This window comes from Homo sapiens, chromosome 2, assembly GCF_000001405.40.
Source record: "Homo sapiens chromosome 2, GRCh38.p14 Primary Assembly".
NCBI classification, from domain to species: Eukaryota; Metazoa; Chordata; class Mammalia; order Primates; family Hominidae; genus Homo; species Homo sapiens.
The window spans coordinates 37920506-37935482 of record NC_000002.12 but is presented as its reverse complement, the minus strand read 5'-3'; the positions used below and the strand labels follow the sequence as shown (position 1 = coordinate 37935482).

Sequence of the window (14977 nt, the reverse complement as noted above, 5' to 3'; positions counted from 1 at the left end):
GCAAGGCATATAAATCACCACACAATGAGCTTCTGAATCTCTGTTCATCTCCATGCTTTGAACAACTGAAGTTCCACATTAAAACGGACCTGACAGGAGCAAGTAATGTTAAGAGTAAAAACACAAATGAACAAAAAGCACTGTCTATATTTTTGGCTCATGAAAGTGAAAGTTAAGAGTTTCAAATAAAACCTCAAAAATCTGTATCTGTCTGTGGTCTTACTTTCATCATCATTCTCTATTATCTACGAAGTAATATTATCTAAGGCAATATATACTATGCCTGACATTATGCTGGTATTCTGGGAGTGGATTCGTGGTGTTTTGTGTTATTTTCGAATAATCAGTACTGTTTTTGTTGATACTATATGAGAGTATCATATGAACCTAACAGTAAATGAAAATATCTAGGGCAAGAAGAAAAGAAAAAAGACCCATATGGTCACTATACAACCCTGAGTCTAATTTTGAAACTCATCTATTCTTCCTAAAGCCCACAGTGAAATGAAAGAATAATGAATTTGTTACTTTCAACTGGAATCAAAGTTAACTCTTTAAAAAGATGTTTCTAAAGCTTCATATAATATTGTAATTCAAATAATAGTTTTAGACCCATAGAGTGATAGAGCAACGTAAGTCAAATATGACAAAGAGAGGTAGGAAGCTTAAAAAAATAAAAGGAACTGAAAAGTTTTCAGAAATAACTTAAAATTGAAACTGAAAACATCAATGTGAACTAGTGACCTTAAGAGTATATTTTTTACCGTGTCCTCAAAGGGACCCAACCAGCCTCTGATATCATCCTCCCTAAAAATAGTACTCCCCCATATACCCAGCTTTTGGGGTCGAATACTATTCTTACTGAAAGAAACTGATGCTGCCACAGCATAGCTGATTCTGCCTCGGAGTGACAAAAAAATAAAAAATAAAAAATAAAATATAAATAAATAAATCAGTAACAACATGTGATTACCAAGAAGCAAAGATGCTTTCCAAAATGTTAACACTAGTGCTAAAAAGGACACAGACACAAACTTAACAGACCCCTCTGAGGGCCACCTTATGAGAATTTGAGCATTGTTCATCACCACCATACCCAGCAGAAAATCAGCTGAGCCCCAGAAAAGGCATAAGTGCATAGGTCCATAATACTTGTGTACTAAGAGACAGAATACAAGAGATTCTAATAATGGTTACAGAAAACATGTTCCACTGATCTACCCAAATTCCATGAGTCCTCCACTCAAGTTTTTGTCAACAACTAAGGATATAATTAGATATTTTTCCTTTCTTGTGTGAAACAAGTAGTATTAGAAAATTGTGGCTGATATCCATTTTTTGAAAAGAAGTAAAAATCTTCAGGTACCTATTGCAAAAGAGAAATGTTACATATGGAACATGTAACTGTCACTTAATATTTTAATTTTTGCTATCAAGGACACTTGTGTATGAAGAGCACATCCCACCTTAAAAATGGGAAAGAGGGGATGACTCTTCCTCCCCATGGCCAGTCTTCAGTCCCACAGGAGATTATAAAAGGACAGGCAGTCTAAAATTTACACAAATGTACTTTACAAAAACCTTGTTTCTGAAAAATATTTTATTTATTTAAAAAGTGAGTTTCTACATACTTATTTAGAAAGATTTCACATCTAAATTTTTTTGTACTCCTCTCTCCCTCTCCCTCTCCCCTTTCCACGGTCTCTCTCTCCCTCTCTTTCCACGGTCTCCCTCTGATGCCGAGCCGAAGCTGGATGGTACTGCTGCCATCTCGGCTCACTGCAACCTCCCTGCCTGATTCTCCTGCCTCAGCCTGCCAAGTGCCTGCCATTGCAGGCGCACGCCGCCACGCCTGACTGGTTTTCGTATTTTTTTGGTGGAGACGGGGTTTCGCTGTGTTGGCCGGGCTGGTCTCCAGCTCCTAACCGCGAGCGATCCGCCAGCCTCGGCCTCCCGAGGTGCCGGGATTGCAGACGGAGTCTGGTTCACTCAGTGCTCAATGGTGCCCAGGCTGGGGTGCAGTGGCGTGATCTCGGCTCGCTACAACCTCCACCTCCCAGCCGCCTGCCTTGGCCTCCCAAAGTGCCGAGATTGCAGCCTCTGCCCAGCCGCCACCCCGTCTGGGAAGTGAGGAGCGTCTCCGCCTGGCCGCCCATCGTCTGGGATGTGAGGAGCCCCTCTGCCTGGCTGCCCAGTCTGGAAAGTGAGGAGCGTCTCTGCCCGGCCGCCATCCCATCTAGGAAGTGAGGAGCGCCTCTTCCCGGCCACCATCACATCTGGGAAGTGAGGAGCATCTCTGCCCGGCCGCCCATCGTCTGAGATGTGAGGAGCACCTCTGCCCTGCTGCCCCGTCCGGGATGTGAGGAGCGTCTCTGCCCAGCCGCCCTGAGAAGTGAGGAGACCCTCTGCCTGGCAACCGCCCCATCTGAGAAGTGAGGAGTCCCTCCGCCCGGCAGCCGCCCCGTCTGAGAAGTGAGGAGCCCCTCCACCCAGCAGCCACCCCGTCTGGGAAGTGAGGAGCGTCTCCGCCCGGCAGCCACCTCGTCCGGGAGGGAGGTGGGGGGGTCAGCCCCCCGCCCGGCCAGCCGCCCCGTCCGGGAGGGAGGTGGGGGGGTCAGCCTCCCGCCCGGCCAGCCGCCCCGTCCGGGAGGGAGGTCGGGGGGTCAGCCCCCCGCCCAGCCAGCCGCCCCGTCCGGGAGGTGAGGGGCGCCTCTGCCCGGCCGCCCCTACTGGGAAGTGAGGAGCCCCTCTGCCCGGCCAGCCGCCCCGTCCGGGAGGGAGGTGGGGGGGGTCAGCCCCCCGCCCGGCCAGCCGCCCCGTGAGGTGAGGGGCGCCTCTGCCCGGCCGCCCCTACTGGGAAGTGAGGAGCCCCTCTGCCCGGCCACCACCCCGTCTGGGAGGTGTACCCAACAGCTCATTGAGAATGGGCCATGATGACAATGGCGGTTTTGTGGAATAGAAAGGGGGGAAAGGTGGGGAAAAGATTGAGAAATCGGATGGTTGCCGTGTCTGTGTAGAAAGAGGTAGACATGGGAGACTTTTCATTTTGTTCTGTACTAAGAAAAATTCTTCTGCCTTGGGATCCTGTTGATCTGTGACCTTACCCCCAACCCTGTGCTCTCTGAAACATGTGCTGTATCCACCCAGGGTTGAATGGATTAAGGGCGGTGCAAGATGTGCTTTGTTAAACAGATGCTTGAAGGCAGCATGCTCCTTAAGAGTCATCACCACTCCCTAATCTCAAGTACCCAGGGACACAAACACTGCGGAAGGCCGCAGGGTCCTCTGCCTAGGAAAACCAGAGACCTTTGTTCACTTGTTTATCTGCTGACCTTCCCTCCACTACTGTCCTGTGACCCTGCCAAATCCCCCTCTGCGAGAAACACCCAAGAATGATCAATTAAAAAAATAAATAAATAAAATAAATAAATAAATAAATTTTTTGTATCTTATTCCTTTCTCAAAAAAATCCAAACTGTTTGTCTGCTTTTGTTTATTTTTCTAAAGGAGAGCTAAACAGGAAAAAGCTTCTCCCCTTCTTTACTGAGTGCCATTTGCTGTAGTCCAAGGCACTGGGGATGTATTGCATCTACTCTAGTATTTTATTGCTAACAAAGGCACCCAGGATCAAGCAAGAGGAGGGAATGTCTCTCCTGACATCAGTCTTGAAGTTTTGACGTGTCTAGTTTTTCCAACTAGCTGTATGTTACTGTCATTCATAAATTTCACAAATCCTTCTTGAACCCACATAAAACATCTGTGCCTACACCATTACTTGAAATTCATTAAGTCCCATAATTATCTTCTTTTTACTTGTCCTAAATGAATCCTAAACTTATCAAAGTTTGCCTCTTTTTCTAGAATTTCAGAACTTCTTGAATAAGCCTAAGCTCAACTTAACCAGTGTCCTTTTAGATTGAAGGCCATTCACCCTTTTGGTCTATACTCCTTCAGCAGAACTGCCATTTTTCCTCTCAGTCTAGCAGACCTTCTCTGGTTAGTCCCTAGTTCCATTAGGTCTTTTCTAAGATGCAACTGCCAAAACTGCACACAGGACACACGATGAAGAAATACCACAGATTTACATACAGGTAGGATAACCACCTGGTTTGTCTTCGATAACTCTCAATGATGCTCAATGCTATACTGGGATTTTTGTCATTATTAGAGTACTAATCTGCTGTTTTCTACATCCATAATAAATAACTACTAGGTCTCTTTTCTGAGTCACACAAATTTTTTAGATCTTCCTACATTTGTAAATGAACTAGAACAATGACTCTCAATAATTTTCAAATAGGGCAGAGCCACAAATGATAGCTCTAGGAAGATCTAAAAAATTTGTGTTCTTGAACAACAACAAAAAGTTGTTGACTGGTTTTAAAATAGGGAAGGAAAATATTCAGAAGGAATCTAAAATAATCTTAAATCATTTGAAACTGTGACTCAGAAAAGAGACCTAGTCGGCGGGTGGGTGGGTGGGTAGCAGCGCTGGGCCTGTGTCTTGAGCCTGGAGGGAGTCTGCTCCTGCCGCCCTCTGCCCTGCCAGAGACAGACCCATGCGCTGCCTGCCCACTGTGCCCCTTTGTCCTCATGTCAGGCGGAGGCGGAAGGCCCACCGTGCCAGAGGCTGGGCACCAGCCTTAACCCTCACTCTGCTAGCACCTCCTCCCTTTCCCTGAGGCAGCACATCTGGCTCACTCTCCCCTCTGTCTCTGGAGTCCACCAGGGAAGGCCCTCATCCCCTGCTGCTACTTCTTTGGGGAATGTGGGTTCCATCCAGGGTTGGGGGCCTCTCTGCTCACCCACTCTGCACCCAGGATCCTAGTCCCCTGCCCTCTGGCACGGCTGCTTCCTGCAAGAAAGTAAGTCTTTGGTCTCCCTGAGAAGCCATGTCCCTCGTGCTGTCTCTTGCCTGTCCCACCTGCGCCCTGCCCTCCAGCTTGTATTTAAGTCCCTGGGCTGCCCCTTGGGGTGCCCCTCGCTCCCAGGTTCCCCTCTGGTGTCATGTCAGGCATTTTGCAAGGAAAAGCCACTTGGGGAAGGATGGAAAAGGACAAAAAAATTAATAAATTTCCATTGGCCCTCGGGTGAGCTGAGGGTTTCTGCAAGGAAAAAAAGAAAAGAAAAGAGACCTAGCCACTGGATTAACCCATGCAAAGATGAGACAGAGTCACCTATATACTCTCAAGTCTTTTTTGACCTGCACTAAAATTCAGTAGCCAGTAGCCCAAGTGGCTATTTAAATTTAATTACAATTAAATAAAATTACAACTTCAATGACATAAAAGGAAAATTCAGTTCCTCAGTTGCATTAGCCACATTTCATGTGCTTTGTGGCCAGAGGGGGCTAGTGGCTACCACATTGGGCAGCACAGACTTGGACCATTTCCATCACTGCGGAAAGTTCTTTTGAACAGGAGTGGTCTAGAGAATTCTCAGAAGGAGTCAGAGTGGCTACATTAAAACAGTAGGTTATACACTTTGGCAAGTAATTACTGCCTTCCTCAATATTCACATAATACCACCTGCTACCAGTAAGTTTTTTATATTCCTTTTGTCAATATGGTCTAAACTAGCTTAAATACTGACTACTGAATATGACTTTAATTATAATCTAAGTCAAAATATCACTCCTTTTCATTTTATGTGAGCAGCAGGATATATGACTGGAACCCATAATGAAAATACCTAAATAATAGTAATAATGATAATAACCAATTCAACATAGGAAATATCTTAAAGAAACTTACCCTCCTTCACTTTCTGCTTCCTCTGAACTATTACTTGTTGCTGAACTTTGAATTGTGGGGAGTCTTCTTTTTCTCGCTCTGTGCTGAGGGCTTATCTTATGAACAGTTATTTTCCCTCCAAGTTCATCTTGTATATATTCCTCCAGCTTTGGAATAGCTTCTTTAAGAAATCTGATTTCCTCTTTGAGTTCTTCCATATTTGTCAGTAATTCGTTTAACTTCTCCAGTATCTGAAGTTGCCTTTCTTGAAAGATTACTGTTGTTCCTTGGTCATCATGTATTTCATCTTGCAAAGTTATTGAATTAAATGTATTACCCAGAGAAAGAAATTCAGGTAACTTCATTGCTATCCCTGGTTTACGGACCTTGTGGTACCACAAGAGCAGCAAGCTGATTCCAGCAGTGCCCACCATGATGCCAAGTATCAACTCTTTGTTTGTGGAATAAGGCATTTCTTGGTTTTCGTTTCTAAAATTAAAAACATAAATGTAAATGAATGTTGTTTATGTCTTTGTCCAAGACAAAAATATAGGTGCTTTTTCAATCAACAAAAGCCAAGTTTACATCACAGGATTTACAAAAAGTAGGACAATAGCCCAAAGGGTGGGAAAGGACAAATGGAAGTATACTGTTGTAAGAGTCTTAGATTACAATGAAGAATTATCATATTAAGTTAAAGATGCATAGCTGTAAACCCTAGAATAACCACTAAAAAACAAACAAACAAAAAAACCCCAGGCAATACATATCAAGACAATAATAGAGATAAAAATGGAACACTAAAGATACTCACTTGGTCCAAAAGAAGGCAGGAAAAGGAGAAAAAAGAACAGATGGGCAAATAGAAAACAAATAGAAGAGAAATTACGCCATTATTAAGTGCGAAAATGGTGCCAAAAGATCAAGAAATAACAGGTTTTTTTTGCCAACAGAAAAGAGTCCATAAAAAGAAAAGAAAAATTGATGAAGTAGACATATAGAAAACTGCATAGCAATAAACTTGAGAAGGCAAAGGAGGTGGGCTCTATCGCACAAGCACAGGAGTTGACCTTTGATGGGAACATAAACCATTCATTCATAGTCATAAAAGGCAGATTATGTGAGCAGAGATTTAAATAGGTGGGTAGATGCAGTGGTGGGAGGTTATGCAAGCTCTCTTTGATTGCTTCACTGTTCTAAGATAGGAAGTGAAGATAGGAAGCAAAGTAAATAGCTGGGAGTGTGAATTGGGGAAAAAATATCAGTAAGATGAAAATTCTGAATTAGGTTGTATACCCGAAATTCACCATCCTCTGCTTTATATCCTGTGATTCCACATATTCTACCAAGCATTGTTTCTTACACTTCAAATGGCCAACTAAATGTAATGTTTCAAATGCTTCCTTGGTGGTCTACTGGTTAGGATTTCTGGGCTCGCAAATGCCCTATGGAAGAGGGTCTGAGAGAACAAGCAGCCATAATCTATTTCTGAAAAGCCTGCTTAAAATAAGAACGTCTTTGGATTCCTATTTCACTAGAGTATATGCCTGGAACACAGAAAGTATCCTGTTTGGATGTTCTACACTTCATTACAGGCCTAAGTGTCAAAGAGAAGGACTGACTTTAAAATAATCTTCCAGAAATTACCTCAGGTGTTAGTGAATATTATATCCAAGAGATTTAAGAATTCCTTCTTTTAAACCAAAGATTCCAGAGAAAGCCTTGGTACTTAATCTGGCCTGCTTTACCTCACAGAAATTTGCCTGGAATTAACTTAAAAAAATTTTTTTTCACCTAATTGGTATAACTGGGAACTATAACCATCTGCCCACTCCCAGCTCATCCAGGAGACATGCCAGCAACAGATTCCAATCAATTTGTAACTTCAGCTGAAATTGTAGCTAATTATTGCTAGATGTGTAAATGTATTCTACAAAAAAATTGTATCACAAAACTAAATTATCTTGAAAGCTTATTGCAAAAAAATAAGTCACTCTATGCCCATTAATTACAACTGCATTCCAGCTAATATTCACACATCAAGTTTAATCATCTTTATTTTTGTCAATAAAATTATTCAGGCAGGATGTCCATTCGCTGATATAGAGGTCTATTAAAGGAAATCTTCCTATTCTGATTGCTTTCTTTTGCCCATACCTTGGACTTTTACATTAAGAAATATAGCCTAGTTTGAAAATATTTTCATTTAATAAGCAAATAAGTAGAAGTAAAAATCTACCTAGGAAGGAGAACTTATTCTTGAGACAGGACCAGGTTTCAGCAGGTGGGAAAGTCTTATTTTGCTTGGCCCTTTCTTTAGGAACTGCACCAATTCCAAATCATCTCTTCCATGCAGGTCCTATTATTATTTTGCAGATAAGTGAACTGAGGCACACAGGTGTCAAGTCACTTACCCAGTGATCACCCAACTGGGAAGTGAAAACTGTCACCTTTGACAACCTGTTCCTAACTCTTGGATGCACCCACAACATGTGGGAGATTTGGAAAGCATCAACAAGGAGGTGAAGGAGAGTACTGACTGAACAGAGATGCTCAAAGCTGAAATATTATTTCAGAACCACAAAAATTAACTAGAAAAAAATAGAATCAACGGAGCTGATGTTTTAAACAAACACAATTAAAGACTAACAGTTCAAGCTATGTTTGAGTTTTATAACAGCATAAAACAAATGTGCTTCAACACTGATAATTTGAAAAATGACACATTAAAAATAATGTACAAAATACATCAGAGTACTTGCTTGCCTTCAGAATAATTTCAAAGGTTGTATGAAGTCATTTACATAGCTTTTTTTTTTTAGAGTCTCGCTCTGTCACCTAGGCTGGAGTGCAGTGGTACAATCACTGCTCACTGTAGCCTCGACCACTTGGGCTCAAGTCATCCTCCTGCCTCAGCCTCCCTAGTAGCTAGGACCACAAGCGTGGGCAACCACGCCCGGCTAATTTTTACATTACTTGTAGAGAGTGAGTCTCCCTATGTTGCTAGGCTGGTCCCGAACTCCTGGGCCCAAGCAATCCTGCCTCCACCTCTCAAAGTGCTGGGATAAGCAGCATGGGCCACTGCCTCCAGCCTTGTTAGCTTTCATACTTCTAATTATGTTAATAGTATACACTTGTAGTATAAAAAAATATAGTAATTAAAAACTTTACCAAACAGATTTTAAAACTCTAATATTTTAATAATCAGATACAAAGTATTATGTTACGTTTCAATTTGTAAGGTGCTAGTAAATAACAATGGAAAATGACATTTTAATATAGATTATGGCACTTAATTAATGTGTATTATTGTGTAATATTAAAGGTTGAGATGAGAATCAAGTATTCTAAAATGACATCAAAATGTTGACTCTAAAGAAAATAGAATATGAAATGTTTTCTGAAGAAATGTCTGAAGAAACATTTCATTTCCATGTTCTAGTTTTATTTAAAATTAATTTTTTGATGTAGAAATTATGCTTTACTAAATTAATTATAATGCTTTCACCATAAATCTAGCACAGATATTCATTAACTTCATCAGCAGACCCTTAGAGGAGAAAAATATAAAATGCATAACTCTAATAAACTCGGGGAAGGTATGACAAATTTTGCAAGGATAAAGAGACATTACAAAAAAGCCCGAGGTTTAAGTTTCCTAAGAGAATTGCACTGAGACCTTGAACTAGTGATCAGATTTCCTACAGCGTCCTGGAAAACCTGGTACTTTCGAAGTGAATTCTATTGTTCATTTCATCAGGTTTTCATGGTTTTTTTGTATTTTATAATTTATTTTAAATTTAGGGCTCCCAAGTGTTTGCCTCATTCCCCTATGTTGGCAGCACTGATAATCCGGCCTTCGTTTTTGTGTGAAATAGGCACAGACGGAGTCTGAGAGCAAAAAAAACCCCACACAAACAAAAACAAAATGTTTGCGCAAGGCTGAAAGCCGAGCGAGAGCCCAGCAAGTGTCTCTGTTGAAATTCTTTGGGGTTTGCAGGGACCAGCCGGGCCGAGGCAGCAAACTGCCTGTTCCCCACGCACCCCAGAAGGGTCCGCGTGCGAGGAAATACCAGCGACCTCCGGGGCTAGGGCTTCCGTGGCGCAGGGTCAGCGAGGGATGAACCCGGGAAGCCACTATGGGCCGCTGCTCCAGCCCCGGGAACGCAGAGCACCGCTGGCTAGCAGGCTCAAGCTTCGCCAGGGACACACCGACCCGGAAGTGCAGTCGCCCCCACCGCAAGTATTTCCGCTTCCCTCCGCAAGTCCCCGGCGCGGTCCGGCCCCCAGCGGCTGAGCAGCCCCCTCCCAGACTGCGCACGCACCTGTGTTCACTGCGCCGGCCTTTCAGCTGTTGGAGAGCGGAGACCAGGACCTGCTGGCGCGCAGTGGCGGACGGACAGTAGCCCTGGAGCCCGCGGGTCCTAAGGTCCCGCGCCGCGGCCGTCGCGTCCTGACCCAGATAGCGGAGGCGCCGGGGGAGGAGCCCGCGGCCGCTCGGCCCCCCGCTCCCGCCCCCTCTCCCTCTCGTGGTGGGTTCAACTCTACCGGGACTGGCGTTGGGTGCACCTTTTGCAAAATAAAATTGCACGTCGCGGGGCGCCTGGCTCGCGCCGGACCGTGTGTCTCGGCCGTCGCCTCCCTTCGAAGCCGGTCGGCACCTTTTCCCCCGCCTGGGCTCTGGGCCTCCGCGCTAGCCCCAGCGCGTTCCCTCTCGCGTTGCTGCCACTCCGCACGCCCACCGCCAGCTCGCTTCGTTCCGGCTCTCAAACCCACTCCCTCTCCCCTAGTTAAACCTTTTTCTGTGCCCTTTCTAGGCACAACCTTGCACTTTACTCCTCACGACTGAATTAAAGGCAGACGCCTTGCACTAATTACTGATATCTGCAGCCCCGTGTTCATAGCTTTATCTCACGTTTTCTTTTAATGAGCAATTTTGACAGCCTCTTCCTTCTCCCCGCCATTCCGAGTTGCCTTTAGATGAAAGCCGCTGTTTTTTCAGATGCCTGACATTTAAGGTTTTACCCAGCTTTCTGTGGTTTGTATAATGAAACTAATTCTGCTAAATACGCTCTTAAAAACTGGGCCGGGCGCGGTGGGTCACGCCTGTAATCCCAGCACTTTGGGAGGCTGAGGCAGGCGGATCACCTGAGGTCAGGAATTCGAGACCAGTATGGCCAACGTGGCGAAACCCCTGTCTCTACTAAAAATACAAAAAATTAGCCGGGCGTGGTGGTGGACGCCTGTAATCCCAGCTACTTGGGAGGATGAGGCAGGAGAATCGTTTGAACCCGGAGGCAGAGGTTGCAGTGAGGCGAGATCGCGCCACCGCACTCCAGCCTGGGTGATAGAGCGTCTCAAAAACAAAAACAAAACAGTACATACACTGCTTCTGTATTGTCCGCACCTTGAGTATTACTGCCTCAAGCTTAGGTTTGCATAACATTAATCTCTAAACTTCCCACCAATATATTGAGCAGAATTAAAAATGGGTACACTCTTTCTCAAAACAGCAACAGCAGACAACACCCATAAAGCCATGAAGAATCCAGAAGGCTTGTTTTGCAATCCATATACTACTGTTTACGGATAGGGATTCAGGGATTCTATAGGCTCTTTAAGATGATTTTTTGAGCTTCAGGCAAGCCGCATTGAAGAATAAGTAAGCCTGGCCATGGTCATTTTATTAAAAGTAATTTGTAGCAGGGCGCAGTGGCTCACGACTGTAAGCCCAGCACTTTGAGAGGCTGAGGCGGACGGATCACTTGAGGCCAGGAGTTCGTGACCAGCCTGGCCAATATGATGAAACACCATCTCTACTAAAAATACAAAAATTAGCCGAGTGTGGTGGCGCACTTCTGTAGTCCCAGCTGCTCGGGAGGTTAAGGCATGAGAATTGCTTAAACCTCAGAGGCAGAAGTTGCAGTGAGCCGAGATCGGGCCACTGCTCACCAGTCTGGGACAGAATGAGACTCTGTCTCAAAAAACAAGAGCAAAAACCTAAGTTGTATTTGGAAAAAGAGCAGATTAATCTTTAACCTCTCAGATTTGGAACTAGTAAAATATTACCTTCTACAAACCCACTTCACTCCTATTTATTATGGTTTGCAGCAATCTTGCAATATAATGCTAGCTTTATTTAACTAGAATACAATATGATATAAACCGATCATGCAAAACAATTTTCTCTTTTAACAAGATTTAGATACCAAAGAAACATGACTGTCTCTTCGCTAATACTTAAAAGGAGCTTTTCAGTATTTAAAACAAAATTTAAGCTTTTCCAGGAGCCCACTGAGTTGTTCACTGCTGCATCCCCAGCACATTGCACAGAAGAGGCTTTCAATAAAAATGTGACGTATGGGCTGTGAACAAGGCCTTACCAGTCTATTCCAAGAGGAAGATGGCAGCTGATACTGACTTGATCTTCAGGTTCAGGACATAGACTATGTCACACTTGCTCCTTTCCAATACATTTGTTTCTATTCCTTGATGAGTAAAAATTATCTGAAAGGTAGAAACTCAGGGACAGTGACAACCATTGACCTTGGCAAAGCTGTAACTAAATAGCAAAGACAGGCGCTATCTTTGCCAGGTACTGTTGCAGGGGTGACATAAAAAAGCAGAAATGATTCCCCTCCCCACTACTAGGAATGTCAGTCTAAAAGGAATATCTGAAGGAAAAACCAGAACATACTAAGAATCTCAGAGTTGCTGTTATTCATCAAACCAGTACGGCATGACAATCATTTGGGAGGAGTGGGTACAGACCCTTCACGATTTGCCCCAACCTACTTTTCCAGCTTTTCTCCGCTACTTCCACCAGACATCATTCTACACTTCAGCACTAGCTAAGCTACTGATCGTCTCTCCACAAGCTGTATCCTTTTTATCCTGTTCCTTGTGCCTGGAATATCCTGTTGCTTGCCACCCGTCCAAAACCAATTCAACCACTTCAACCTCTTTCCCTTGAGAAGCTACACACTCTCTCCTTCCCCATAAGAAGTATTCATCCATGCCCCATCAAAACTTATGGAAGGACCAGGAGTTTCAATGAATACAAAATGCCTCCCTGCTAGCTTACAGCAAACCTCTCTGGTGTACACTATATAATTACTGCTTGCCAGTGACTGTGTGTTTGTGAGGCTGTGAACATCTTCAAGGATGGTAGCATTTATCTTTGTATCTTGGGAACCTGGCATGGTGCACACCCTCTATATTAGATAACTATTTGAAAGTAGTATGTACATTTGAGGGAAAAGCATGAGGAAATGTATAGTCCTTCATTATAGTAATGTGAGATGGGAGTGTCAATTTTTTTTTTTTTTTAGGTTTTATTTGAGTGGTTTTATTTCCAGGAAGCAATTGAATGACAAAGTTAGTTTTAACCCTTTAACAGTTACCAATATGCTATATAGTTAACTATTCATTTTCTAGTTCCTTGTTGTTATTTCCAAATCTTATCAAACTTACAAGCTGAATTTCTTAATTTGTAAACTGAAGGCTGAGCTGCAGGTATAATTAGTACCACTATGAAATCCCCAACCCCCGCTTCAAAGAGCAGAATCAACCTTCATTTCCAGGCTGGTTTTAAGAAAGTATTTTAAGGAAAGGGTTAAGGAAATATTTTACTGCAAATAGCTGGGGAAAAACTTTTAAATTAAGAACACCCTAACCATTGAGAGAGAGGGATTTAGAGAGGGAGAAGCGCACAGGCAAAGAGCAGGGGCAGAGGAAGAAGTCCCCCAGGTGTAACCGAAGCTCTGAGTTCCCCGAATCATTTGTAAACGAGGAGGAGCAAAGGGCAGCAGCAACAGGTACAGCAGGAACATTTATTGAGTCTTCTACACAGTTTTCAAGCTTCGTTCTTTATATGAATTATCTTATTCCATTTTCCCAACAATCTAATGAAGTAAATAACATACAGGTGAGGAAACCAAGGCTTCAAGAGGTGAAGAAACTTGTCCCAGGCCACATAGTCAGTTTTAGAGACAAATATCAAACTTAACTTTGTCTGAGAGCCTTTTCTCTTAACCCAGCCCATCTTGGACCCCCAGACCCTGCCTTTGATAGAACACTTGAAGGGACTCTTCATAGCACCATTTACAAGAACATCATAGCCCTTCTAATGTGATATTACATCATTTGTATCCCCCACTTCAGTTATTTAGGGTTCAGCTTTCACTGCTTCTGTTAGAGGAGAAACTGAATTCTCAAATCTGATCATTTGCCCCATGGGGGGTTTTCTGCAGTTTACCACAACCTCTAATCCACAGAGTATAAAATTACTTTGTGTTTATGATATTCAGGTTAGGCTAGGAATAGAATTTGGGGAAAAGAGGAATATAATACTATGTCTGATGTAGTTTTAAAAAAATTAGGCAGTCTCTAGAACACAGGAAAATTACAAAAAAAATTTCTGAAAAGAAACTAACTTGGACTTTCTAAGGTAAAAATGTTTTATCTGAAAAAAGCATTAGGATAAGCTTATTAAATATTTCCATAGACTAAGTGATTAGTGCAATAAATTATTAATCACTTAAATCCAATAAAATGGTTGGCCTAATACTCCTATACTGAACAAATTAAAAATGGTATTTTAGGAAGATATGTATGAAAGAAAAATTAACAACGATATTTATGTTATGCTACTTAGCAGTTCAATGTTGAATCAATTTATTAAAAGTATACATACCTAATTAAGATATAGAATTCTTATTAGAAACTTTCTATTTCATTAGAAACATTAAGTTTTTGTTCCATGAAAAAAGTCATTTTCAAAAAGGCATGTACTAACCTTGCTCAGTGGTTTTCCGCAGTATTTCGGTGATGATTCAAGAAAAGAATGACGTTTCTTTAAAAATTGTGGAAGATTTTTTAAGTCACATTCCTCCACTGATTTTCCATGGCCTTTGTAAATAAAGCACAGCCTTGGATACAATCCAAAGTGGAACTTGACAGATTCAGAGGAAGAGTGGTTTTGCCCCTCCCTCTGCATTCTTTCTTCATCCTGGGAGATGATGTTCAGGGACACTGTTGACAGTATATACATCAACTTCACAAGCTAAGGTCAGTTTCACTGGCGCTAATTAAAAATAAAGGTGAATATTCATCATCATCAGACAAAATGTTGTTAACACGTGTACAAAAAGTTAAAATAACTGGATATGCTTAATTACATATAATAATTGGAAAAAAATTTCATTTTGGACTTGGGTGGTAAGTGGATTTTATACAATATTCTG

General features: G+C 42.7%; 1 protein-coding gene across 10 annotated transcripts in view, besides 1 other annotated feature; it reads right to left on the bottom strand.

Moving 5' to 3' along the window:
- The window catches only part of RMDN2 (regulator of microtubule dynamics 2), a 146238-nt gene extending 131656 nt beyond the window's left edge, over positions 1-14582 (bottom strand). For 5 of the 10 annotated variants that reach the window (NM_001322212.2, XM_011532616.3, XM_017003476.3 and 2 more), the window contains exons 1-2: positions 10058-10196; positions 5754-6221 (exon numbers count right to left, since the gene is read on the bottom strand). In NM_001322212.2, the coding sequence (NP_001309141.1) occupies positions 5754-6205 (452 nt within the window). In that variant the 5' untranslated portion in view covers positions 6206-6221; positions 10058-10196. Of the gene's footprint in view, positions 1-5753; positions 6222-6546; positions 6725-9776; positions 9953-10057; positions 10197-14529 lie in introns of those variants that run through there. The other 5 variants (XM_047443519.1, XM_047443518.1, XM_017003477.3 and 2 more) reach the window with 3 other exon arrangements.
- Positions 10142-10381: a silencer, noted in NCBI's record as "silent region_11366". NCBI's record gives its function as "represses an Ori minimal core promoter by ATAC-STARR-seq in GM12878 lymphoblastoid cells {active_cell/tissue: GM12878}" and the evidence as "EXISTENCE:reporter gene assay evidence [ECO:0000049][PMID:35858748]".
- Positions 14583-14977: the final 395 nt, after the last annotated feature.